Raw genomic sequence first — 24,630 nt, 5'->3', positions numbered from 1 at the left:
TGAAATAGTTGATTGCAGTTGCTCAGTAGTTTCTGTGGGAACGTCTGACCCCCTAGAGCTTCCTGCCCTGCTGGTGTGCACAGTGTCACTCCTCCCATTGTTTTTGATCATACACGGATGATTCTTGTCTTATTACAGCTATTACAGTGGTAGCTGCAAATGTGCTCTTCTAGTTCTCTCATTTCTTCTATTTCTGTTATTGGCTATTTCCAGTAAAAAAGAGGAACTATTGCTTTCTTTACAGTAGATTTATGTTAGAAGTTGATACTGATGTTGAGAATAAAGTTTCCTATTTTTGTAATGATATATATAGAAAGAGCTCATTTTATATACATAGAAGTGTATGTGGATAATCTCATGTCTATAACTAATTGTATGGATATTTTGTAATTATATAGATACACATATAAATTTTGCATCTATAGCTATAGTCCTAGCATGAATATAAGTATGTGTGGATATAAAAGTCTTTACATACATTGACATACAATAGGAACTTACAGGATTAGCTGTATATGATTATTTATCTTGGAAGCTATAAATGCCCACCCAGCTTGTAGATGGTTAGAGATGTGTACAGTCCCAGACACATTTGCCTGTATAATGGGGCATGGTAACATTTATTCAGTACTTGCCATCAGGCACGGGTCTCAGTACCTAACATGTTAGCATGCTTAGCATTAGCTCTTTTAATGCTCAGAATGTCCTAATCAGGTTGTTCAGATCACGAAACTGAGGTTCAGGGAGGTGAAGTAATGTGTCCAAGACCACAGAGCTAGAAAGTGGCAGAACCCACATTAAAACCAGAGACTTTGTAAGCAGAGTCTGGCGTTGATAGGTACCGAGGTGTCTTTTTTTAGGAGACCACAGAAAGGTGTTCTAGGACAGTTTTAACATTTGGTATCTTTGTAGTTTTTAGTCTAAAAATCTACTTTGTAGGGAAAGTAAGTATTAACACTTAAATGAGGTATAAGCTTATTTTTAGATTTTTGGGACTGAAACAATAAAAAAGCTTCTTAAACCTTATTTGATAAAAAAAAAAAGGGATAGCTTTTCAAACTTGATTGTTGAGATATTTTGGGTCTGTGCCTGCAAAATAAATAAATAGCAAAAATTTTGAAAAATAAGCGAAAACCATGAAAACACTTAAAGCGGAAGTTAATCCTAATAGCTCAGAACTGCCGGAGTGTGAAGGTTGATTCCTGCTGGCAAGGCCATTGGAAGTAGCACTGAGGTCTGTTCAGCTGGAAGGTAGGCACTGGCTTCAGTGTTTTATTGGGGTTATAACATCTTTCCAGATTAAAAAGGAACACCCTCAAAGGGCTGCCTCAGCCCTGTTCTTTCTGGGCGAGCAGGATTTACAGAGATCCTTGTTGGGAATGGCTTCCCGTTACGGACACTCTGGGTCCCTAGGTGATTGGCACACCTAGGCTGCCTCCGAGTGGTCATGAATCTCTTCTCTGCCCTTAATGCCCGGTGGATTCTGGGGGGCATAGCTTAAATTCCCTCGTCACTGTGCATAAATTAACTAAATTAAATGCAAACCAACACCTTCTCCTCCGGCCTCCAGAGGGCTGCACTGTCCTGCAGAGCGATGACAACGTCATATGTCTCTGGGGCAGCATCCAGTTTGTTTGGGGACAGGCTTTTCCCCTCTGGATGAAAACAGGATTTTCTTTCACTTGGTGGCAAAGTTTATGTTTGTATCTTAAATTAAGCTTTATAGCATTAGGATTATTGAGAGCCTACTCATTCCAGTTTCCAAAAATGAAACTAAGAGAAACTGTTGCTTTTTATCTGGAATATTGCCCTCAATTTTGTAGCCAGCTGCTGAATGCTGGCCAGATTTTCTGGTGATTTTGACATGCAAACATTTTATGCAGATGTGGAATACCAAGGAGTATTAATAATTCAGTTTGCATGAAGAAGAAACTGAAGAGGCCTCTGAACTGCGCAGGTAAACAGTGTGTATTATTACAGTGAGCTGCTTGTTGTGAGGCTGCACTGAGGCGCCTGCGCAGGCCTGGGAGCCCCCGGGAACCCGCAGGGGTGTGCAGTGGCAGTGCTGGATGAATGTCTTGGTCCTGAGAGTTCAGGGAAAGCTCCGTTTCTTTCCTCCGCCCCGTGGGTCTGTGGAAGGATGATAGAGAAGGGGTGTCCTTGCCTCTGCCCTCACACAGAGGCTTTGGGGAGTCTAAACAGAGGGCTTTGGGTGGGCGGCTCACACGCTGTGGGCTCCCTGGGGAGAGTTAGGGCGGCTTTCTCCCCTCAGTGTTCTGTCATTTGCATTGGTTGTATTTCCAAGTAGGGAGGGAGGGGAAGGCCGATTTGCAGCTAGGCGCCTCTGGAAATAGGGTTTGAGCAGCATGAAACTGGGATTCTGGGCACCTGTACATACATGGGACGGTAGTTCTGGTGTCCTTGGTGGCAGTATTACAGCGTGTAGTGAGTAAGCAGCAGTCTCCGTATGGAGCGCCTGGCCTTTTCAGTCATCGCCCCCTTAGTAGCAGGTGTTTAGTTCACCCTATAGACCGCGAGGCCACAAGTGGCAGGAGCTGGGACTTGCCCAGACCTGAGCTGCCTGCCTTGGCCGCTCAGGGGCCCTGCGGCCTCACAGCGAGGTATGGGCCAGGTTGCTGGTTCTCCGTGGCTGTGGAGTCAGCATTGCCAACCTCTGTTTATCCAGGGTTGTCTTTGCATGGGTCAGGAAGATCCCGCTGCTGTGAACCCTGGCATGTGACCTTGGCCTCTCTCTGTTGACCCTGGCAGCAGGAGCATGGCTGTTCGCTGACTCCTTATCTTTGCTGTCCCAGCTGATGCTGTGAGTGTGCACACAACTGTGCTGCAGGGAAATTGGACACTGGATTCTGGGCATCAGCACTCTTGCCAGGGAGCTGACCCCAGCCCTGCCCATGTTAGTGTACGTTTTGGTAACATTTATCAAGTGCCCACCAGTCACTAAAGGGCAGCACTCATGTCATTTGATCAAACACTGCAGGTCAGTGGGCAGGGCCTCTCCAGCAGCAGCTGACAGCCAAGGTGCCCTGGCTGGCAAGTGTCTTCTGCTGCCACCCTTGGTCAGGGCCTGAAGCCCAGCTCTGTGCTCCCTGACCCTGTGTTCCCCAGCCCTGTGCTCCCCGGCCTTGTGCTCCCCAGTTCTGTGCTTCTCCACCCCTGTGCTCCCCAGTTCTGTGCTCTCCAGTTCTGTGCTCTCCTCAGTTCTGTGCTACCCACCCCTGTGTTTCCTAGTTCTGTGCTCCCCAGCTCTGGGGAGAGTTAGGGCGGTTGTCTTTCTCCCCAGTTCTGTGCTCGCCAGCCCTTTGCTCCCCAGTCCTACCCATCACTGTGACCCTGGGGCCAGGCCATGTCCATGCCTGGGAGCAGAGGCCATGCCATGGTTGGCCAGCCACATATGGCAGCCTAGGACCATGTCTGCCCTGGCTTTGCCCCTGAGAGCTGCCCACCATCTACACCAGGTCCAGGGCATCAAAGGATTCCTTACCCAGAGGAGGCTGGGGTGAGCTGAAAGAACTCTGGAAAGCAAATGTGGGTGTAATTTATGTTGTGGTGGAAGAAAAAAAATATACCATGTAGTGTTTTTACAGGACCTGGCAGACTCCTCCCTTCCGTGGTGGTCCACTGCCCAGGAGCAAGGCCTTTTCATAGGACCACAGGCCACAGCAGAGGTGGGGCAGCCCACCCCTCTCAGCCCCTGCTTTCAGAGGAAGAAGCTGGACAGAAACAGAGCTCCCCTCACCTGGCGACCACAGGAGTCCCCTCTCAGGACAGTGCCTGAGGTGCACAGGCCACGCCTATGCCTCCCTGCCCTTCACTCGGTGACACATGTTCATCTTCCAGTGGCGTTGCGGGGTTGGGATGGGCCAGGGGCGGCCACCAGCATCTCACGCCCTGGTGTCTTTCACCCAGATAAGCCAAGCTCCAACCCCAGGAGAGTCCCCAGCCTGGGCAGGGCACCGTGTTGGTCCCGTGGATACCGCTGGGGTGGGTAGAGGCTGGGTCCCTGAGAAAGCGGGAGGGAGAGAGACCGAGCAGCAAGAGTGCGAGTGTAGATGTGTGGCTGCAAGTATAGGTGTGCAGTTAACGTGACGTGCATTTCGACTCTTGTCAGGAGCCCCGTTAATGGTGGCCTGTGGTGCCACCATGGGCCTGAAGGAGACAGTGTCCTGAGGCAGCTGCGCCCCCCACAATGGGACAGTGAAGGCACGAAGCTCGTTTACAGGTTCCTCCTCCCCACAGCCACCCTCCACCTGCAGCAGCCCAGGGCTGTCCCTCCAGAGGGCCTCCCCATGACGCATCCCCGTCACCCACAGAGGGTGGTGCTACCTGAAAGCCACACTGCTGTGCATGTGGGGCGCTGCATCCGTGAAATTCAGTGTTTACTATGGTATTCTGTACTCTGTTTTAATTTTGTGTGTGGGGATGACTAGCTCCATAATGAACTTCACACCTCCCCAGGAGCACTGCTGGGTTGTATGTGCAGAGCCAGCAGGTGCGCTGCTCGTTGACCCATTGGATTTACATCAGTTTTTGTTTCGTCAAATAACATACTCACATGGCTTAAAAATGAAAACATTCAGGCCGATGTGGTGGCTCACACCTGTAATCCCAGCCCTCTGGGAGGCCCCGGTAGAAGGATCACTTGAGCCCAGGAGTTTGAGACCAGCCTGGGTAACATAGGGAAGCTGCATCTGTACAAAAAAGTTTAAAAGTAGCCAGGCAGGGTGGTGCACACCTGTAGTCCCAGCTGCTTGGGGGCTGAGGTGGGAGGATCACTTGAGCCCAGGAGGTTGAGGATGCAGTGAGCCGTGATCAACGCCACTGCACCCCAGCCAACAAGAGGGAGACCCTGTTTCAAAAACAAAGGAAGTCAGAAAGTTTAAAAAAAGTGTATGTTGACATCAACTACCCCGCTCTGTTGCCTTCATCTCCCCATCTCTCTCCTTAGAGGCAACCACATTTCAGTCTTAGATATTTCTCCTGATACTCATGTCCATATCCTAATTGTACTGTTTTATAGCCTACAGAGTATGAGCAAGGTAATTAAACCTCATTCTGCTGTTATTTCTTATACTCTCTAGGCTCCCCAGTGGCCACTGTGCATTTTTGCTGTTGTCACTGCATAACATTGTCCACTGCAGAACCAATAGGTTGGTCATGATTACACTTCTACTCTTTTGCCAGGTTTGGCTTTATGGGCTGATGTTGTCTGGGCTTTTACTGGCTTACCTTTTTTTTTTTTTGGAGACAGTCTTACTCTATCGCCCAGGCTGGAGTGCAGTGGCATGATCTCAGCTTACTGAAAACTCTGCCCCCCAGGCTCAAGCAATTCTCTTGCCTCAGCCTCCTGAGTAGCTGGGATTTTAGGCGCCTGCCACCATGCCCAGCTAATGTTTGTATTTTTTGTATTTTTGTAGAGACAGGATTTCACCATGTTGGCCAGGCTGGTCTTGAACTCCTGACCTCAAGTGATCCACCTGCCTGAGCCTCCCAAAGTACTGGGATTATAGGCGTGAGCCACTGCTCCCAGCCCTGGCTTACTTTTTAATGAATTTATTCTTATTTTTTCCAAATGCTCCATCAGCCTTGTCAAAAGCCTATCCCTATTTTTCTCAAAGGCTCAGTGGGCAGTACACAGCAGTCTGTTGGGGTTGGTCACCTCCCATCCCTGGCCTGGCTGAGCTCCTACACCAAAGCCTCTCGTCTTGGATGGAGCCCAGATCGTGAGCCTGTGTCTTTGACTTTCTTGGTTCACCCCTTATTTTGCCGAAGTGTGTATTCAGCGTGGGTTATATAGTCTCTTGGGTAGGTGGAAAGTCATTTACCCTGAGCACATGGAAGGCCCTGGGTTGGCTCTGAACTTTCAGCCTTGCTGCTGTGGGCATGGTGCCATTCTGATCCCTGTTGCTGTGATGTGGGGCTGCTCTTTCTCTCTGGACATCTGTAGGGCTCACTCGTTAGTTTGCTCTGAAGTTCACAAGGGTGTGCTTGGCGCGGGTGTTTTTCATTTGTTGTCCCAAGCGGAATGACTTTTCCATCTGTGTGCTTGGAAAAGTCTTGTATTATTCTAATCATTTCCCCTTTCCCTTCCCTTGGCTCCCTTTTCTGGGCTTTTCAAGGATGTCGAGAGATTTGGGATTGATTATTTTGCGGGAGAGGGAGGCAAGGAGAAAATCCAGATAAAAGTGCTGTAGGAGAACAGAGTTGGGCAGTTTCAGAAAGCAGGTCACCATATTTTGAACACTTTTCTTTCTTTATTTTTAAAAAATATGTTTTACTTAAATTTAATGGTGGTAAAAAACACAACATGAAATTTACCCTCTTAACCATTGTTAAGTGTACAGTTCTGTAATGTTAACTAGATTCGCTTAGTTTTGTAACAGATCTCTAGAACTTCTCCCCCACCCCAGTTTATGAAGGTATAATTGACAAAAATGCATATATTTATGGTGTACAAAATTATGTTTTGATTCATGTATACATTATAAAATTGTTAAATCTAGCTAATTAACATATCTGTCCCCTCACATACTTAATACTTTTTGTGGTGACATTTAAGATCTACTCTCATAGCAATTTTTGAGTATACAATATGTTATTATTAACTGTAGTCACCACGTTGTACAGTAGATCGCCAGAACTTATTCATGTCTTACCCAAAACTTTGCACCCCTACCCAACAACTCCACAACCCCCGACACCAGCCCCTGGCCACTTCTGTTCACTCGTAGCTTCTCTGCGGCCAGCTGCTCTAGAATCCACATCTGAGTAAGGTCTGTGGCGTTTGTCTCTCTATGCCGGCCTTATTTCACTTAGCGTTAATGTCCTCTAGGCGTATCCATGTTGTTGCAAATGAAAAGATTTTCCTCCTTTTTGAGGTGTAATAATATTTCATTGTACACAGAAGTACAGTGAGTCTTTTGTGTCAGTGGGTTCTACATCTGTGGATTTAACTAACCATGAATCAAAAATGTAGTTAGGCATGTGATGGTTGCCTCTATACTGAACATGTAGAGGCTTTTTGTTTTCTTGTCATTATTCCCTAAACAATATGGTATAACAACTACTTACACAGCATTTACCTTGTCTTAGGTATTATACGTAATCTAGAGGTGATTTAAAGTATACAGGAGGATATGCATAGGTTATAGGCAAATACTACATCATTTTATAGAGGGACTTGAGCATCTGTGATTTTGGTATCCATGAGAGGTCCTGGAACCACCCCCTATGGATATTGAGGGATGACAGTACATATAGTCATATACCACATAACAATATTTCAGTCAGCAATGGACTGCATATACAGTGGTGGTCTCATAAGATTACAATACTCTAGTTCTGTACCTTTTCTATGTTTAGATATGTTTGGATTACCATTGTGTTACAATTGCCTCCAGTGTTCAGTACACGAACCTGCTTGTGGCCTAGGTTTGTGGTAGGCCATGCTATCTTGGTTTGTGTAAGTACACTCTGTGATGTTTGCATAACAACAAAATCACCTAACAACACATTTTCAGAACTTATCACCATTGTTAAGTGATACATGACTGTATCTCTTTGAGATGCTGTTTTCAGTTCTTTTGGTTATTGTCACAAGTGAGCGGCAACTGTCTGGGGCTGGCAGTGCAGGGGTAAGAAGAATTTACCAAGAAAGGCAGAGAGAAAGGAGAAAAATACATTGCAAGGGAGTAACAGGCACAGCAGGAAGAGAGGAGCTGACTGCAAAGAGACAAAGCTTTGTTGGGGATTTTATAGAATAGTGTTTATGCTGCATGCTGAAGAGGGCTTTGTGCAGTACTGATAAGGCCAAGGTTGCAGTGAGCTAACGTGCAGGTGTCTGGTGAGAAGTTGGGCACAGGAGGACTGTGTATCCTGGGCCAGGAAGAAGGACAGACTTAGAGTTTACCTACTTTTCTTTTGGCTTCCCCTGCTCCCACCATCCTGGCCCCGCAGTGCCTTCAAGTTTTCAAGTTTGATGTAGTCCCCTTTGTGTATCTTTGCTTTTGTTGCCTGTGCTTTTAGTGACATATCTAAGAAATCACTGCCAAATCCAACATCATGAAGCTTTCTCTCTGTTTATAAAACTATTACACTATTTTAGTTAAAACTATAAAAAGCTTTATAGTTTTAGGTCTTACATTTAAGGTCTTTGATCCATTTTTGGTAAATTTTACAAAAGTTAATTTTTGTATATTGTAGAAAGCAAGGGTTAAACTGAGTTCTTTTGCTTGTGGATATCTGCAGTTTTCCCTGCAGCATTTATTGGAGAGACAGTCTTTTTCCCGTTTTGTGGTCTTGACACCCTTGTTGAAGATCATTTGTATGCATGGGGGTTGATTTCTGGGGTCTGTATTCTGTTCCATGGGTCTATGTCTGCCTGTGCTGAGACCACACTGATTTGACTACTGTATGGAATTGATTTTTAATTTCCCTTTTTTTCTCTCTCATTTTTTATCTTTATTGTTTAGATACACTTTATAGGAGCTTTCCTTGTCTTCCGATTCTGCTGTTGACGTTTGTTTTGCCACTGTAACATGTCAGTGTCCAGGAAACTTCCCTTGGTCTCGGATCGTTCTTTTTGCCCAGCAGTCTGTTTTGTTTCCTGGCTGAAATGGCTTTCCTCTTTCCTTCTCTGGGTAGTGCAATTTTTCTGTGTGCGCGTGTGTGTGTTTTGGGCTCAGCCCCTTCATTATTCTCCTCTCCCACATCCGCCTGGCATCATCGGCTCCAGACTCCAGGGATTGGAGTGTGTGTGAACATTGGAATTCTAAGCCCCATCTTCAGGCTGCTCCACTGCTTCTGAGACCCTCCACAGTTCTGCGGGGTTCATGGTTTGTCTGCTGTCGTGTTGCCTGGGCTGTGTTCTGGGGCTCTTGGATCCCAGGGCAGCCACTTGAAGCGGCCAGCCTCTCTGCAGCGGGGTTCCTATGTGGCTGAGCCGGGCCGCTTTCCAGGTGAATGCAGTCTTCTGTGGAGCCTTGGAGTTTTTCTAAGCCTTCCTGGCCAGGGTTTCCAACTGCCTCCATTTGCTAAGGTTGGTCATGGGGTATTTGAGAGGTTACGGAAAGACGCTTTGCCCCTCTTCCTGGGGTGAGGGGAGGACAGGTTCTATCGGGTGTATGGGAGGAGACAGTACCTCCTCGTTTCCTTTATTTTGAAAATGTGGCTGGATATTGTCTTGGATAGGGGTTAGGCCATATGCTGGCAAATTGTCACAGAAAGGTCTTTGACTGGCTTGTAGACCTGCTGTGTCTGACTCACCTGCTTGCCCGCACCTGACTCACCAATAGGTGAAGCAGCTGCTCTCTGGGCAGAGTCTGAGACGCAGGAGTTAGGGAGAGGAGAGGAGAGGAGCGGCTCTGAATGCTCAGTAACTCAGCCATGGGCTTTGAGAAGGCTCAGTGCAGCCTTGAGAAGTGGTGGGGGCTGCCTGTATTTCCCTGCTCACATGGGGACAGTGGAGCAGAGCTGCAGATCCCCTTGGGGGCTGGCTGGTCAGATGGGTGGGCTCCCCCTACTGCCTATGCCATGAGCCTGCAAAGACAGGGCCAGAGGGGACCGCTGTTTGCCAGACGCCAGCCCTGCTGGCCAGCCCTCCTGTGGATGCTTTATTCGTAGTCATACGGGAATTGAAGCTCCTTCCCTCTTCTGGAAATCCTAGCCCAGCCTCGAAAACGTGAATCTGGGGCTCTGGGAGGAAGGGAAGCGGTGTGGCTGGGGCCTCCTGAGAGCCCCACGCATGGAAGGGACTGGTAGGCCCAGCTGCTGTGAGTGGCAGGGAAGGAGCTCATTCTCCAGCCTTGCTGCCCCTGCAGTCCCAGCCATGGCAGGGTCTTTCCTTTTTTGTGCCTCTCTTAGTTCCACAGAGGGTTTGCAGTGTCGTGGGCCAGGCCTGGCCACACACAGAGCTGTCCTTCTAAGGGCAGCCAGGGCTCTGCAGGCCCCAGTTAGAGACTTTCCCCATCTTGTTTAGAAAGGGAAAGATGCCCCTGAGAAAGAACTTTGAGTCCCCATTTTGTGCCTTCCCCTGTGTAGTAAAAATAGCTGTGGTGTAGGGAGAGCTGAGAGCCAAGGCCAGGCACCCCCAGCTGGCTTAGGTGCAGGACTTGCCCACAGCCGGGAGATGAAGAGATCCCTTTTTTACCCTCTGACATTGGGAAAACAGCTCAGCCGCGTTTCCTCCAAGCCTCGCTGTCTGGGAAGCCCTCCTGGACCTTCCCAAAGGCACAGCTTTTGGGGCATGGTCAGGAGGAAACAGTGGTTGGTTCATACCTTTCAGAGCTCACGAAGAGGAAGGAGCAGGGATGTTCGATGCAGGAGGTTTTGTCTTCTCCCCTGTTGCGGGAAGTCAGGGACCCCAAACGGAGGGACCGGCTGAAGTCATGGTGGAAGAACATAAATTGTGAAGATTTCATGGACATTTATTAGATCCCCAAATTAATACTTTTATAATTTCTTACGCCTGTCTTTACTGTAATCTCTGAACATAAATTGTGAAGATTTCATGGACACTTATCACTTCCCCAGTCAATACCCTTGTGATTTCCTATGCCTGTCTTTACTTTAATCTCTTAATCTCATCATCATTTTCGTAAGCTGAGGAGGGTGTATGTCGCCTCAGGACCCTGTGATGATTGCATTAACTGCACAAATTGTTTGTAGAGCATGTGTGTTTGAACAATATGAAATCTGGGCACCGTGAAAAAAGAACAGGATAACAGCAATGTTCAGGGAACAAGAGAGATAACCTTAAACTCTGACCACCTGTGAGCTGGGCAGAACAGAGCCATATTTCTCTTCTTTCAAAAGCAAATGGGAGAAATATCGCTGAATTCTTTTTCTCAGCAAGGAACATCCCTGAGAAAGAGAATGCGTCCCTGAGGGTGGGCCTCTAAAATGGCCCCCTTGAGTGCAGCCGTCTTTTGTGGCTGAGCTGTAGGGATGAAATAAGCTCCAGTCTCCCGTAGCGCTCCCAGGCTTATTAGGACGAGGAAATGCCCACCTAATAAAATTTTCGTCAGACCGGTTGTCTGCTCTCAAACCCTGTCTCCTGATAAGATGTTATCAATGACAATGTGTGCCTGAAACTTCATTAGCAATTTTAATTTCGTCCCAGTCCTGTGGTCCTGTGATCTTGCCCTGCCTCCATTTGCCTTGTGATATTCTATTACCTTATGAAGCACGTGATCTCTGTGACCCACACCTATTCGCTCACTCCCTCCCCTTTTGAAAATCACTAATAAAAACTTGCTGGTTTTGCAGCTTGGGGGGCATCACGGAACCTACCAACATGTGATGCCTCCCCAGACACCCAGCTTTAAAATTTCTCTCTTTTGTACTCTGTCCCTTTATTTCTCAAACCGGCCGATGCTTAGGGAAAATAGAAAAGAACCTATGTGAAATATCGGGGGTGAATTTTGCCCAATATCTGGCTGAATTTTCCCCGATACTCCCCTGCCCCTCAGATTACATATGCCCATACAAGCAGGAGGTGATGTAAGAGAAAACCCTGGATTTGCCCAACGTCTCTCTCTGAGAATACTTAGATACATGATGTTACAGCCCTGCACACAAGAGCACGTTGTATTTTTTAAAATGAGGGAGGCAGGGAACAATCTCTCAGTGCAAGTTTAAAAACAAGTTGGAAAATAATGTGTTCAGTGTTATACTTATTATACTTATGTGAAAATACATGTGTGTCTATGTGTTATGTACGTGCGTGTGCCTCACCGCCCATCTGTTCTAGAGACTTAGAAATGATCTCAAAGCCTGTGTTCCAAGCAGTGATTCTTCTGGGAAGCAGGGAGGATAAAGGGACAGGCTTATTTTATGTTCTTTATTTTATATGCTTTAAATGGTTGAATTGGTTACAACTAAACATAAAAGAGAAAAAAAGTAGAGGAATTTTCAAAACAGATTTTTTCATGATTCTTGGAGACACGGGAAAGGGCTGGAAATTGGGCCCTGGTGGGCTGGGTGAGCCCTGGAGGCATCCTGCTCCCCTTTGCCTGGGGTCCTTCCACCAGCCACTCTGCCCTCTGTCCCCATTCCTTGCCTTTCACATTCTGAATTTTACCACTTGTCTTTCTTTTTCATTTGTATTTATTTATTTATTTTGAGACGAGGTCTGGCTCTGTTGCTGAGGCTGGAGTGCAGTGGCGCTATCACAGCTCACTGCAGCCTCGACTTCCTGGCCTCTAGGTGATCCTCCTACCTAAGTCTCCCAAGTAGCTGGGACTACAGGCATGCACCACCACGCCCAGCTAGTTCTTTCTGTTTTTTGTAGAGACGGGGTCTCACCATGTTGCCCAGGCTTAGTTTGCTTTCCGATTTATTGTTTATGGTTTTCTGTCCATTTTCATTGTTACCATCTCAAAACAGTCTGAAAGAGGAGGCAGATGTTCACAGTTCACTCGTCTTCGCCCTGTCTGAACCTCTGTCTACTCCTGTCTGAGAAGGGTTGAGTAATTTGATTAGCAAATAGGGCAGGCCCTTGCAGATGCTGAGCAGATTATCATTTTCACCTGCACCTCTGAGACTATGAACCGGTTTGTTCATTCTCAGTGTAGATACTGGCTGTTTTTAACAGCTTATCAACAGGTGTTTAATTAAAAGGTCAGATGTGTTCACCTTCTACAATCAGTTTAATGTCACCATGAAGATTCTACTTAATTTTTTTTTTTAAGAGACAAGATCTTGCTCTGTCACCCAGGCTAGAGTGCAATGGTGTGATCATGGCTCACTGTAGCCTTGAATCCTGGGCTCAAGCTATCCTCCTGCCTCAGCCTCCTGAGAATCTGAGACTACAGGCTCACACCACCATACCTGGCCAACATTAATTTTTATATCACTGATTATATTGTTTTCCTGAGTAAGATGAGGAGCATGCACATTTTCCATTGGGGAGTTGATCTGAACAGATTTTCAACTCCTCATACATTCTTTTTCTGACTCCAACTTCCGTACCCTGTGTGGATGATGGCAAGTAAACGCCTCCCGCCACATTAAAGCGACATCTATATAGAACTGGCATTTACTGTGCTGTGCCTTGCTGGAAAGAGATGTTGCTTCATTGTTTCATGTTTACGAATTACTTGATTATGAATGAGCTTGATTGACTTTTCATGTTGTTGTTTCCTTATATTTCCTCTTTTTTAGAATTGTTCCTTAGTTCTTGTGCCTACCTTATAGGCTGAACCATATGAAATTGCCGTTTTTGTGGGTCAGAATGATGGCCTAATATTGGTGGTTTTATGTGGTTTATCTGAATATCTTTAGGGCTTTAATGTTTTTTGTGTTTTAGTAACATTTTCTACTTACAAAAGTGTTCTACTTGTTCTAAAATTTTTGAGAGATATAAAAATATATAAAATAGGAAATATAAATGTGTAATACCATGAAAGCATTTCTTACCATTTTGATGTATTTGTTTCTTTTTTCCCTTTTTTTAAATATATTTTCCTCCAGAAAGTTGCAGAAGCTTCCTGGTAGAATTGTTATAAGGCATAAATGAATTATTATATGTAAAGTGACCAGTAAGTAGATTAGTTATTACTATTATTATAAAGTTTTTATTCTTCTACACTGCCCATTCTATTAAATATTTTTCAGAAATGTGATTTTGGCTGGGTGCAGTGGCTTACACCTTGTAATCCCAGCACTTTGGGAGGCCGCAGCAGGAAATCACTTGAGTCCAGAAGTTTGAGACCAGCCTGGGTAACATAGTGAGACTCCTATCTTGGTAAAAAAATTTTAAATAAATTAGCTGGGCACGGTGGTATGCATCCATAGTCCCAGCTACTTGAGAGGCTGAGGCAAGAGGATCTCTTGAGCCCAAGAGTTCAAGGTTACAGTGAGCTATGATTGTGCCACTGCACTCCAGTCTGGGTGACAGAGTGAGAACCTGTCTCTAAACAGTCAAAAATAAATAAATGTGAATTTCAAGACTGTTTAATATTCTGTCATATAAATACACAGTAATTTGACAAACTATTCTTCTGTTGGATATTTTAGGTTATTTTCTTTCCTGTCCTTATATAAATAATATTCTGATGAACTCATATCTTTGTCTGTAACTATTTTCTTAAATATAAGGAATTTCATGTAAGTAGATACTAGGCCAGTTAATATTTTAAGTATTCTTGATATAAAGACAAAGTACCCCCCAGAAATGTTTGCCAATTCCTTCCTCCAGCAGTGGACGAGATCCCTTGCTTACAAGAGGCATCCAGGATTTTTAGTCTTGATAATTTGACAGTTACAAATAGCATATCTTGGTTTTAATTTGAGCATTTTTAGATGGTTATTAATTATATATATATATCTTTTGTGATTTATTAACATCCTCTGTGTATTTTTATTGGAGTTTCCTTTTTTTCCTTATTGTAAGCACTTTCATTTAGTACAATTCAGTAAAATTTTTACTACCTATTATTTGAAAAAAAAACAGAAACCCTTGTAAGGAAAAAAACTACATTTGTACGTGTGTACAGAAAAATTAATCTGGGCTGCGTGCGGTGGTTCACACCTGTAATCCCAGCACTTTGAGAGGCCAAGGCAGGCGATCACTTGAGGTCAAGAGTTCAAGACCAGCCTGTCCAACATGGTGAAACCTCGTCTCTAGTAAAAATAGAAAAATTAGCTGGGAGTGGTGGCGTGCACCTGTAGTCCCAGCTACTTGTGAGGCTGTGGCAGGAGAATCACTTGAACCCAGGAGACAGAGGTTGCAGTGAGCTGAGATTACGCTACTGCACTCCAGCCTGGGCAATAGAGCAAGACCCTGTCTCCCAAAAAAAAAAAAATCAGATTGTATGCTGGTCAAAATATTAATAGTAGTGTTTTTATATGGTAGTGGAATTTTTGATGGTTTTAGTTTTCTTTATACTACATATCTCTATTTTCTAATTATTCTAGAATAGTTTCCTTTTTGAGATAGGGTTTCACTCTGCTGCCCAGGCTGAAGAACAGTGGCACTGTCAAGGCCCCTGCAGCCTTGAACTCCTGGGTTCAAGCAGTCCTCCCGCCTTTTTCTCCCAAAGTGTTGGGATTACAAGCGTGAGTCACCCATACCTGGCCTAATGGATATTTTTCATACAACAAAGAAATTCTGGTTCTTGTGACTGACGACTGAAGGACTATTTATCCTCACTCCCTGTTAACCTGCTCTGGCCTCTCCTGCAAGGGTGGAGCTGAGTCCTCCCACTGTGTGCTTGGCCCTGCAAGGGTCCCTGGTGCCTTCCCCACATGCCAGCTCCTGCGTCTGCTTGGACCATGTAGCTCGGTGCTCACCGGCAGTGTGGGAATGGGAGGGGAGGTGGGAAAGTGTCCTGATGTTTTCTTCTTCCCTTGCACACTGCCAGCCTGCTATGGGATGGATGAAGAAGAGAACCACTATGTCTCGCAGCTCAGGGAAGTCTACAGCAGCTGCGACACCACGGGGACTGGCTTTCTGGACCGCCAGGAGCTGACCCAGCTCTGCCTTAAGCTTCACCTGGAGCAGCAGCTGCCCGTCCTCCTGCAGACGCTTCTCGGAAACGACCATTTCGCCAGGGTGAGTGTTGGACTTCATTGTCATAAAGGAAAGCACGGGGTCTATAGTTGGCTCTTATGGGCATTTGATAAATATCAGCTGAATAAGGATTCAAGTGTCAAAGGAAAGTTATTAGCAAATGGAACAGTGTCCTAGTTTTTCCCTCTATGGAAATTCTACATTGTAGAAAGTGGTTTCTTAAGATTACTTGTTTTTAATGTGGTAACTTCCAGAGGTTTGGTTTTGTTTTTCCAGAGAGATATTTTAGTGGTTTGTCACAGGGGCAGAATGGGGAAGGAGTTTGGTATAGGCCAGTGGTGTGTGATTCACAAAGACCACATGGGTTGGACCTGTGAGCAGCTCACACTGGTAATCAGAGAGAGCGTCACAGTCCCTTGAAGGCAGATTGTCTTACACAATTTCACAGTTTGAAGTCCATCTAGGAGTTGGACAAAACAATTGCAAGCTACTGTTGAAAGAACAAAGGATACCCATGTCCAAAAGTATCCCATAATTTCATCTAGGCCAGATAGAAAACGTGAAATTAGAGGGTTCTTTTCTATCAGAAGGTCAAGATCATCTAGAATGGGGATCTTGGTCCTAGACTGCAACCTGCTTTCATGATCAAAACACTAAAAAGCACCTCCCCATTCCTACTTCTTAAACATGCCTGGATGTTACTGCTAACAGCAGTGCCTTATCTTGTTGGTCATCTTAACTTTGAAGGAATAATATTTTTTCCACAAGACTCAGTATTTTCTTTTCGTTTGTTTTTTTGAGACAGTCTCACTTTGTCATCCAGGCTGGAGTGTAGTGGAGCCGTCTCAGCTCACTGCAACCTTCAACTCCCAGACTCAAGCAATCCTCCCGCCTCAGTCCCCCAAGTAGCTGGGACTACAGGCCTGCACCACCACACCGGCCTAATTTTTGTATTTTTTTTGTAGAGATGGGGTTTTGCCATGTTACCCAGGCTGGTCTCGAATGCCTGAGCTCTAGCAATCCACGTGCCTTGGCCTCCCAAAGTGCTATGATTACAAGTATGAGCCACTGCACCCAGCCAGTATTTTTATTTTGAATTGGGGAAAAGAAACCCAGCCAGTAAATTTTCCTGAAATGGCCCTTGGGCCAAAACAAATGAAGAAAAGAACCACTCACTGCTGGCCTAGTAGAGAGTCTGGTTGAATCCGACTTCTTGTTAGTTCCTCAAAGAAGCCTCACCTGCCCTGTCAGCAGGGCACTGTGCCTCCCTCATAAGGAACTCTCCTCAGGCAAACTCATGCCCTTTCTCTGACTTTGGTTTCTATTCCTGCATTTTTCAATGCGCTTAAGAAGGCAAATGTGTTATTGATAGATAATGATCTAGCCTCTCTTGATATCACCTGGAAGTGTGTTTGGGACATAGATGAGCAAAAGGCACATTTATGAAAAATCAACGCTCTGGTTATTTAAGCAATACAGACAGATGGTCCCGTTTATTTATTTATATATATATATATACACACACATATATATATATATATATATTTTAATTTGAGTCTGTCTCTTGCTGAATTGATATTTTTGAAAAATCAAGAATTTAGAAATCAAACTTTGGAAAATTCAAAACCAAAAGAGTAACTTTGGGTCCACGTTCAGATTGCAGGCTCTGCTGATTGAATAAGCCACGTCATTCCCAAGGATTTCTTCACTTTATGTTTACAGGAATGATACAAGACAGAAACATCCAATTCTGATAGAATAACCATGATTGGTATTAGAGCATCAGCAAGGAGAGAAATTCGCTTGGGTTACATGAGATTTCTGACTGGAACCCTGTCACACGCACCCTGAAAAGCGGCTCATCTGAGATGGAATTTCCTTTCAGGAGGCCTGAGGCTTCTCATATGTGTGTGGGGAGGGGATGAGAAGAAAGTTGGGTACCACAAGCAGTGGCAGGAGCCGGGCCCTTTCTGACTCAGCTCCCCCTGGGATAGCCATGCGTGTCCAGCCATCGTCCTTCCGTCTGTCCCAGCTCCATCCCCTCCTACAGCCATGCTTCCCAGAAAGCAAGTCAGATGTTAGATAAACTAAGAAGTCACTTTGTTTGCACTAGTGCTCTCGACTCTGCTCTGACGTTATCCTTTCTCTTCTCTCTGTAACATTTCGAGAGCACCCTGCTGGTGCTGCAGATGCCTAGCGTTCACCTCTCCCTGCCTGTCCCTTCATCCTGTCTCCTCGGAGATGGTTGGTCATGGTGGACCATTTTTCTTTTCAGGCTCTGCTTGCTTCTCTGCTTCATACCACAGACAGGGCAGAGCTCCCACAGCCCCTATAGGTGGAACGTCATACAGAGATTTAAGGGAAGCGGTATCAAGTCAGAAATATCCGTATAGGTGTCCCAGTTTTTCTACAAGAAACCCAATGGTAGAGATTTCAGGGAGTCTCAAAACCAAGATAAACCCTTTATCCAGGAGAATGGATTGGCTTTTCAGTTCAAATACTACATATCTGGGTCAGGCGCAGTGGCTCACACCTGTAGTCCCAGCACTTTGGGAGGCCAAGGCAGGTGGATCACAAGTTCGGGAGGTGGAGATCAGCCTGACCAATGTGGTGAAACCCCATCTCTAATAAAAATACAAAATTAGCCGGCGTGGTGGCACGCACCTGTAATCCCAGCTACTCAGGAGGCTGAGGCAGGAGAATCACTTGAACCCGGGAGGTGGAGGTTGCGGTGAGCCAAGATCGCGCCATTGCACTCCAGCCTGGGCGACAGAGCAAGACTCCATCTCAAAAAAACAAGCAAACAAACAAATACTACATATCCAGTCCTTGTAGTAACTATCATATATGATATTATATAAACGTTACTGATACAGAAATCTCATAAAAATGAAACAGGCCAGGTGCGGTGGCTCACACATGTAATCCCAGCACTTTGGGAGGCCAATGTGAGAGGATTGCTTAAGTCTAGGAGTTCAAGATTAGCCTGGGCAACAGAGTGAGACCTCGTCTCTACAGAAGAATCTTAAAGGTAGCTGGATGTGGTGGCATGCACCTGTAATTCCAGCTACTTGTGAGGCTGAGCTGGGAGGATTGCTTGAGCCCAGGAGTTTGAGGCTGTAGTGAGGTGTGATTGTGTCACTGCACTCCAGCCTGGGCAACAGCATGAGACCTTGTCTCATATATATATATATATTCTCTCATATATATATATTCTCTCATATATATATATTCAGAAAAAGAAAGGATGGTCACATCTCTATTGAACAGGTATGGACCTTTTTCTTCTCACTATTTCCTAAACAATGCAGCCTAAAACTATTTACATAGTATTTACATTGTATTGGCTATTATAAGTAATCTAGAGCTAATTTAAAACATACAGGAGGATGAGCATAGGTTATATGCAAATACTACATTTTATACAAAGGACTTGAGTATCTGTGGAGTTTGGTATCTGCCAAGGGTCCCGGAACCAATCCCCCAGGGATACTGAGAGACAATTGTAATTTGAAGTTGAAAGTACCTCTAGATCACACATTGCAGCCTCTTTACTTTGTGATGAATGAGTCTAAGATCATGCAGAGATGGGATGGTGTATCTTATTGGTAAAATACCTGAATATATGGGGTTGCCGCTCGCCTTTTGTGAACTGTAAAGAAGGACACAAGAAAACAGACAAGTGTGGTCAAGATGGTATCAGACTGAAATGGCACCAGACTGGGCCATCTGATCCCACTGCTCTTTGATGGATGGAAGAAAGTCAGCTGGCAATTATTACCAACAACACAAAAGAATCTGTGATTAGAATGAGCAAAATTGCAATTTCATCATTCGTTTAGTATTTGACAACTATTTTTGAGGGACTTATTATGTGCTAGGCAACACCAGATGCTAGGGATGCAAGGAGGAAAGACTCACAGTTTCTATCTTCATGTGAAAGGACATGCATTCAAGGTATGCATTCTAGCATTGATTCAGATAGGAAAAATGTGGAAACAGCTTTTTCAGTATGGGATTGGTTAAATAATCCTGGTAGCTCCATTTGTTGAAATCTTTTTGCAGCCCTAAAAAAAGGAAGAAGCAGTTCAGATGTTCTGATAGTGGCAAGTGAGCTAACTCAGGCCAAGCTTTCAAGGAGGACTACTAGAAAAACTGAACAAAATAATAAAAACAAATATTTTGAAAACAGTAAAGAGCAAATAAATCAGTGAGAAATTGCCAGTCAAAAAATCTGCGATAGGCTTGGCATGGTGGCTCAGGTCTGTAATCCCAGTACTTTGGTAGGCCAAGGCAGGAGAATCACTTGAGCTCAGGAGTTCAAGACCAGTCTGGGCAACATAGCCAGACCTTGTCTCTACTAAAAATAAAAAACAATTAGCTGGGGGTGGTGGTACACACATGTAGACCCACCTACTCAGGAGGCCAAGGTGGAGGATCACTTGAGCTTGGGAGATTGAAGCTGCAGTGAGCTGTGATTGAGCCTGAGTGAGATCTTGTCTCAGAAACAAACAAAAAAAAAGTGTAGTAAATTAAGTACCCAGAGAGGTAAGCTTAGCACACAAAAGCCCATTTTCCCTGAGAATATTTTGTGATTTTAAGTAAGCAACTGAGAAATTGATCTGTGACCTTGGGGGCCTCAAAGAGCCCCAGAAACATATGTCAAAACCCGGAGTCATTCAAGGTAGAAACCCAGGGTTGACAAACCAACCCCAAATTTAAGGAAGAATCCTGAAGGGTAAGACCTGTAGGGTAAAGATGAATTGCAGTCAGTCATTATACTGCTTTGTGGTCTGGTCTTATATCCCTCAGTACACTAGATAATCTCAAATCCTGCACTTAGATTACTGGCACTGCATGGATAGGCACCTAGCCAAAGCAAACAATAAAAGTGCCACCATCCCAAATCTGAAATTTTTCCTAAATAATAGCCAAATACAATGACCAGCATATGATAAAGGAAAGCTGGGCAAACAAACAAGACAGATGAGCAAGAACTAGCAGAAACAACTGACAATGGAAGCACACCCGCAAATATGTGAGATATTAGAATTGTTAGACACAAAATATAAAACAACTATGGTTACTATATTAGAGATTTTTTTAGAGCTTAAAAAATATCTAAAAGAACTCTGAAAAGTGAAGTAACAAATCTGAACAATGAACCAAATAAAATGTCTAGAACTGAAAAGTATGATCACCAAAATTTAAAACTAAATAGAAGCATTTAACAGCAGATTAGACACAGCTGAAGAGACCATTCATTAACTGGAGTCATCCAGAATGCAGCATGAAGATATAAAAAGAGGTGGTACAGATGGAGTGAGAAAGTCCAGCATCCCTTTAACTGGAGTCCTGGGAGGAAACAAGTGAATGCTGGAGGGGCATTATGTGAAGAAGTAATAGCTAAAACATTTTCAGGACAGAAACATACTTCTTGGGATTCCAAAAGCCCATGGAATTCCAAGCAGGATAAAGAGACATCTATACCTGGCGTATTATGTGAAACTGAAGGAAAACAAAGCCAGAGAGAATATCTTAAAAACAGCCAGAAGTGGGTACACAGGATCTCTTTGTATTTTTCTTATAACTGCATATGGATCTATAATGATCTCAAGATGAAAAGTTTAATAATTTTAAAAGGGAAGCTAGAGAAAAGACATATCCTAAAAGTGAGCCATAGTTAGATTGACCGTTGCTTTCTGTAATGCAACAGTAGAAGTCAGAAGACGGTGGAAAGATATCTTCAATATGCTAGAAGAAAATAACTGTCAACCTGAATTTCATACCGAGTAAAAATATCCTTTAAGAATAAAGGTGAAAGAATGCCTCTGTGAGAAGGAGAGTTCTGGTTAGCAGTGAAAGGATACAGAGGCAAAGACACCCAATAAATATTTGTTGAGTCCCTACTATATGCCAAAAGTGAGCTCACATTTTAACTGGGGGGCAGAAAATAAGCAAATGCATGTATAATTTAATGTCAGATAGTAATACATGTGTGTCCCAGGCAGAGGTGTCTGCAAAGAAACAGCCACATTTTGCATTCAATGGCAGCAACAGAGGTGTGCTCATGCAAATTCTTGGTCAGATTTTGGAAGCATGCTTGGACCTATGGCCCCAAACCTTCTTCTCCAACACTTAGTGGTGATATTTTGACCAGCCTAATAGCCCTTCTGTTGATTTCTTTCTGTGTGACTTTCACTGAAGCGTACCTAGAGAAAAGAGCCATGTGTCCAAGTGTACAGGTCAGTGAATATTCCAAACTGAGCGCACCTGTGTAACCATCACACCCTTATCCCTCATCATGTCTCTTTTTGGTTCCTCTACTACCAAAGGTCAACCACTGCCTGGACACCAACATCAGAGATTTTTTTTTCCTGTTTCTGAATTTTAAATTCTGCATTTTAATACACAATACATACTCTCTGGCCTTTTTTTTTTTTTTTTTTTTTTTTTTTTTGAGACGGGGTCTCACTTCGTCACCCAGGCATGATCTTGGCTCACTGTAGCCTCGACCTCCTGGGCTTAAGCAATCCTCCTGCCTCAGCCCCCCAGGTAGCTGGGTCTACAGGCACATGCCGCCATGCCCGGCTAATTACTGTATTTTTTTTCACCATGTTGCCCAGGCTGGTTTCCAACTCCTGAGCTCAAGCAATCACCCTGCCTCTGCCTCCCGAAGTGCTGGGATTACAGGCAAGAGCCACCGCACCCGGCCATTCTCTGGCTTCTTTACTCCATAGTATGTCTCTGAGATACATTCGTGTTACTGTGTCTATTAGTGGTTTGTTCTTTTTCATTGTCAGGTATTTCATTGTATGACTATGCCTGTATCAATTTGTTTATCCATTCTGTTTAAATGGACAGCAGAGTCATTTCCACTATTCTAAAAGGATAATTTATAAGTTATAAATTATTTCTTTGTAAAAAAAGAATTAATGTAAAATAAAAACATGTTAGACAAAATATTTGGCACTGGCATATTCAAGAAAAACAAAGTTCTAAAGATGTATTTTAAATAGTTGGAAAATTATTCCAGATGGAAAGTCAGAATTGCAAGAAGAAATGAAAAACAGAATAACTATGGGATAATTCTAAAATGAACATTATACAAAACCAAAAATAGTATTTTGTGAGGGTTTAAAACATATAAAATACATGATAACAAAGGCATTGAAGTCAGGAGTGTGGTAACTGGAGCTAATATATTTCACTGGCTTTGTATTGTCATAGAAGACAGTAAAAGTATTATTAATACTCAACTTTGGTAAGCTAAGAATGGATGTTGTAATTTTAGGGTAATCAGTACAAAAGTGGAAATAGACTATATAACTTCCTTTTTTTTTTTTTTTTTTTGAGACAGAGTCTCGCTCTGTTGCCTAGGCTGGAGTGCAATGGCGCTATCTCGGCTCACTGCAACCTCCGCCTCCTGGGTTCAAGTGATTCTTCTGCCTCAGCCTCCCAAGTAGTGGGATTACAGGCACACGCCAGCATGCCCGGCTAATTTTTGAATTTTTAGCAGAGATGGGGTTTCACCATATTGGCCAGGCTGGTCTTGAACTCCTGACCTCAAGTGATCCACCTGCCTCGGCCTCCCAAAGTGCTGGGATTACAGGCATGAGCAACCATGCCTGGCCATAACGTCTAAATTAATAAGAGAAAAGTGAAATCCTAAAATAGTAAATCCAAAAGCAGGGTGGGGGAGGGGAGAGAAAAAACAAGCAAGTCAAATTGAAAGCAGAAAGCGAAATAGTCAGTTTAAATCCAGTAAATCAGTAATCACATTAAATGTAATTAGATTACATATTTAAGTTAAAGGATAAAGTTTGTCAGATTGGACAAAATCCAACTGTTACTATTCTTAAGAGACATAGCTAAAACATAAGGATATTAAAAATTGGAATGAAAAATTCAATAAAAAGATAATATCATGTAAATACTTTCCAAAAGAAAGCTGGGGTAGTTTCTTGTTAAAAGAGAAAATGGACCTTAAGGTGAAAAGCTTTACTGTATTAAAGAGTGTGAGCATTTTGTTATAATAAAAGGTTCAGTTCACCAAGGGAATGTGCCAATAGGGCACATTCTATGGCCCAGCAATCCCCTCCTCAGGTGGGTACTATAGCAAAGCTTCTGAGGACACAGAGAAGCCAAATGAAACCAAGCTTTAGGCATGCATGCAAATGAGGTCTAGAAAAGCGAGGAAGCTGTCACCATAAAAGTCAGGGTAGGGTTCAGGAGATGTAGGGGGAAGGGTCGTGGCGGAGACGCCTTCTGCAGTGCTGGTGGCGTTGGGGATGCCATGGGCGTTCACCTTATGTGTAACGTTTCGTGGTCATCAGATCCCTCTTTCCTAATTATGTTGTTTGATTTACAAAATTGTTGATAGTGTTTATTTGGTGGTAGGATTATGGTCCACTTCTACTTTCCTTATCATGCTCTTCTGTTTTTAAAAATCTTAAGTAAATATTTGAAAACGTGAATGTTCTCATTCTAAAAGGCAGTAATAATATATTTCTATCTGAGAGAAAATCCAAAAGAGTCACTTTTGAATTGTGTGATCTGTTGAAAGTGACATTGTCCTCTCTCACCTTCAATTCACCCAGGTTAACTTTGAGGAATTTAAGGAAGGTTTTGTGGCTGTGTTGTCTTCAAATGCTGGTGTTCGCCCCTCAGATGAAGACAGTAGTTCTTTGGAATCAGGTAAGAGGATTTCCTCTGTGTTTTCTTTTCATTATTTGTTTGTTAACTTTTGGAGTGTAATATTCTAATGAAAGAATCCAGCAGTTCTGAAAACTGAATTCTACCTTACTTTCTGTCACCCCCAAGGTATATGGACTTGGAAAAAACACTTGATGTTTTCTCTTCCTTGGTTTATTTGTGAAATAGTGTCATATAATAACGTGCACTGTGCCCGCCATGGATGATGACACTGCACTGTGCTAATGTGACTGATCGGAATCCTGTTACAGGGACAGGGCTGCTGGGACACAGGCTATGTCCCTAAGTGGAAGTGGCATCCTTGGAGAAAGCCACCTGGCCTTGGTTTCAGCCTCAAGGTGCTGGGATGGTAACAGGCTGTGGGCAAGGTCAGAGGGAGGGCTGCC

At 44.1% G+C, this 24,630-nt stretch overlaps 1 protein-coding gene across 19 annotated transcripts in view, besides 3 other annotated features; it reads left to right on the top strand.

Moving 5' to 3' along the window:
- Nucleotides 1–24,630, top strand: part of NINL (ninein like) — a 132,835-nt gene that overhangs the window by 43,553 nt on the left and 64,652 nt on the right. For 14 of the 19 annotated variants that reach the window (XR_007067446.1, XR_007067445.1, NM_001318226.2 and 11 more), the window contains exons 2-3: nt 15,381–15,571; nt 24,130–24,226. Coding sequence is in view for 17 of the 19 variants with exons in the window: in XM_047440022.1 (XP_047295978.1) it covers nt 15,381–15,571; nt 24,130–24,226 (288 nt within the window). In the remaining 2 variants the exon portion in view is untranslated. Of the gene's footprint in view, nt 1–1,174; nt 1,252–1,605; nt 1,958–15,380; nt 15,572–24,129; nt 24,227–24,630 lie in introns of those variants that run through there. The other 5 variants (XM_047440032.1, XM_047440024.1, XM_011529187.3 and 2 more) reach the window with 2 other exon arrangements.
- Nucleotides 8,416–9,416: an enhancer, noted in NCBI's record as "NANOG-H3K27ac-H3K4me1 hESC enhancer chr20:25513199-25514199 (GRCh37/hg19 assembly coordinates)". NCBI's record gives its function as "activates a minimal SCP1, AML or CMV promoter by ChIP-STARR-seq in naive H9 embryonic stem cells {active_cell/tissue: H9 hESC(naive)}" and the evidence as "EXISTENCE:reporter gene assay evidence [ECO:0000049][PMID:30033119]".
- Nucleotides 14,836–15,390: an enhancer, noted in NCBI's record as "H3K27ac-H3K4me1 hESC enhancer chr20:25507225-25507779 (GRCh37/hg19 assembly coordinates)". NCBI's record gives its function as "activates a minimal SCP1, AML or CMV promoter by ChIP-STARR-seq in naive H9 embryonic stem cells {active_cell/tissue: H9 hESC(naive)}" and the evidence as "EXISTENCE:reporter gene assay evidence [ECO:0000049][PMID:30033119]".
- Nucleotides 15,391–15,946: an enhancer, noted in NCBI's record as "H3K27ac-H3K4me1 hESC enhancer chr20:25506669-25507224 (GRCh37/hg19 assembly coordinates)". NCBI's record gives its function as "activates a minimal SCP1, AML or CMV promoter by ChIP-STARR-seq in naive H9 embryonic stem cells {active_cell/tissue: H9 hESC(naive)}" and the evidence as "EXISTENCE:reporter gene assay evidence [ECO:0000049][PMID:30033119]".

Source organism: Homo sapiens, chromosome 20 (genome assembly GCF_000001405.40).
Source record: "Homo sapiens chromosome 20, GRCh38.p14 Primary Assembly".
NCBI lineage: Eukaryota > Metazoa > Chordata > Mammalia > Primates > Hominidae > Homo > Homo sapiens.
The sequence above is the reverse complement of the archived record's forward strand: the minus strand, read 5'-3'. Positions and strand labels throughout refer to the sequence as shown.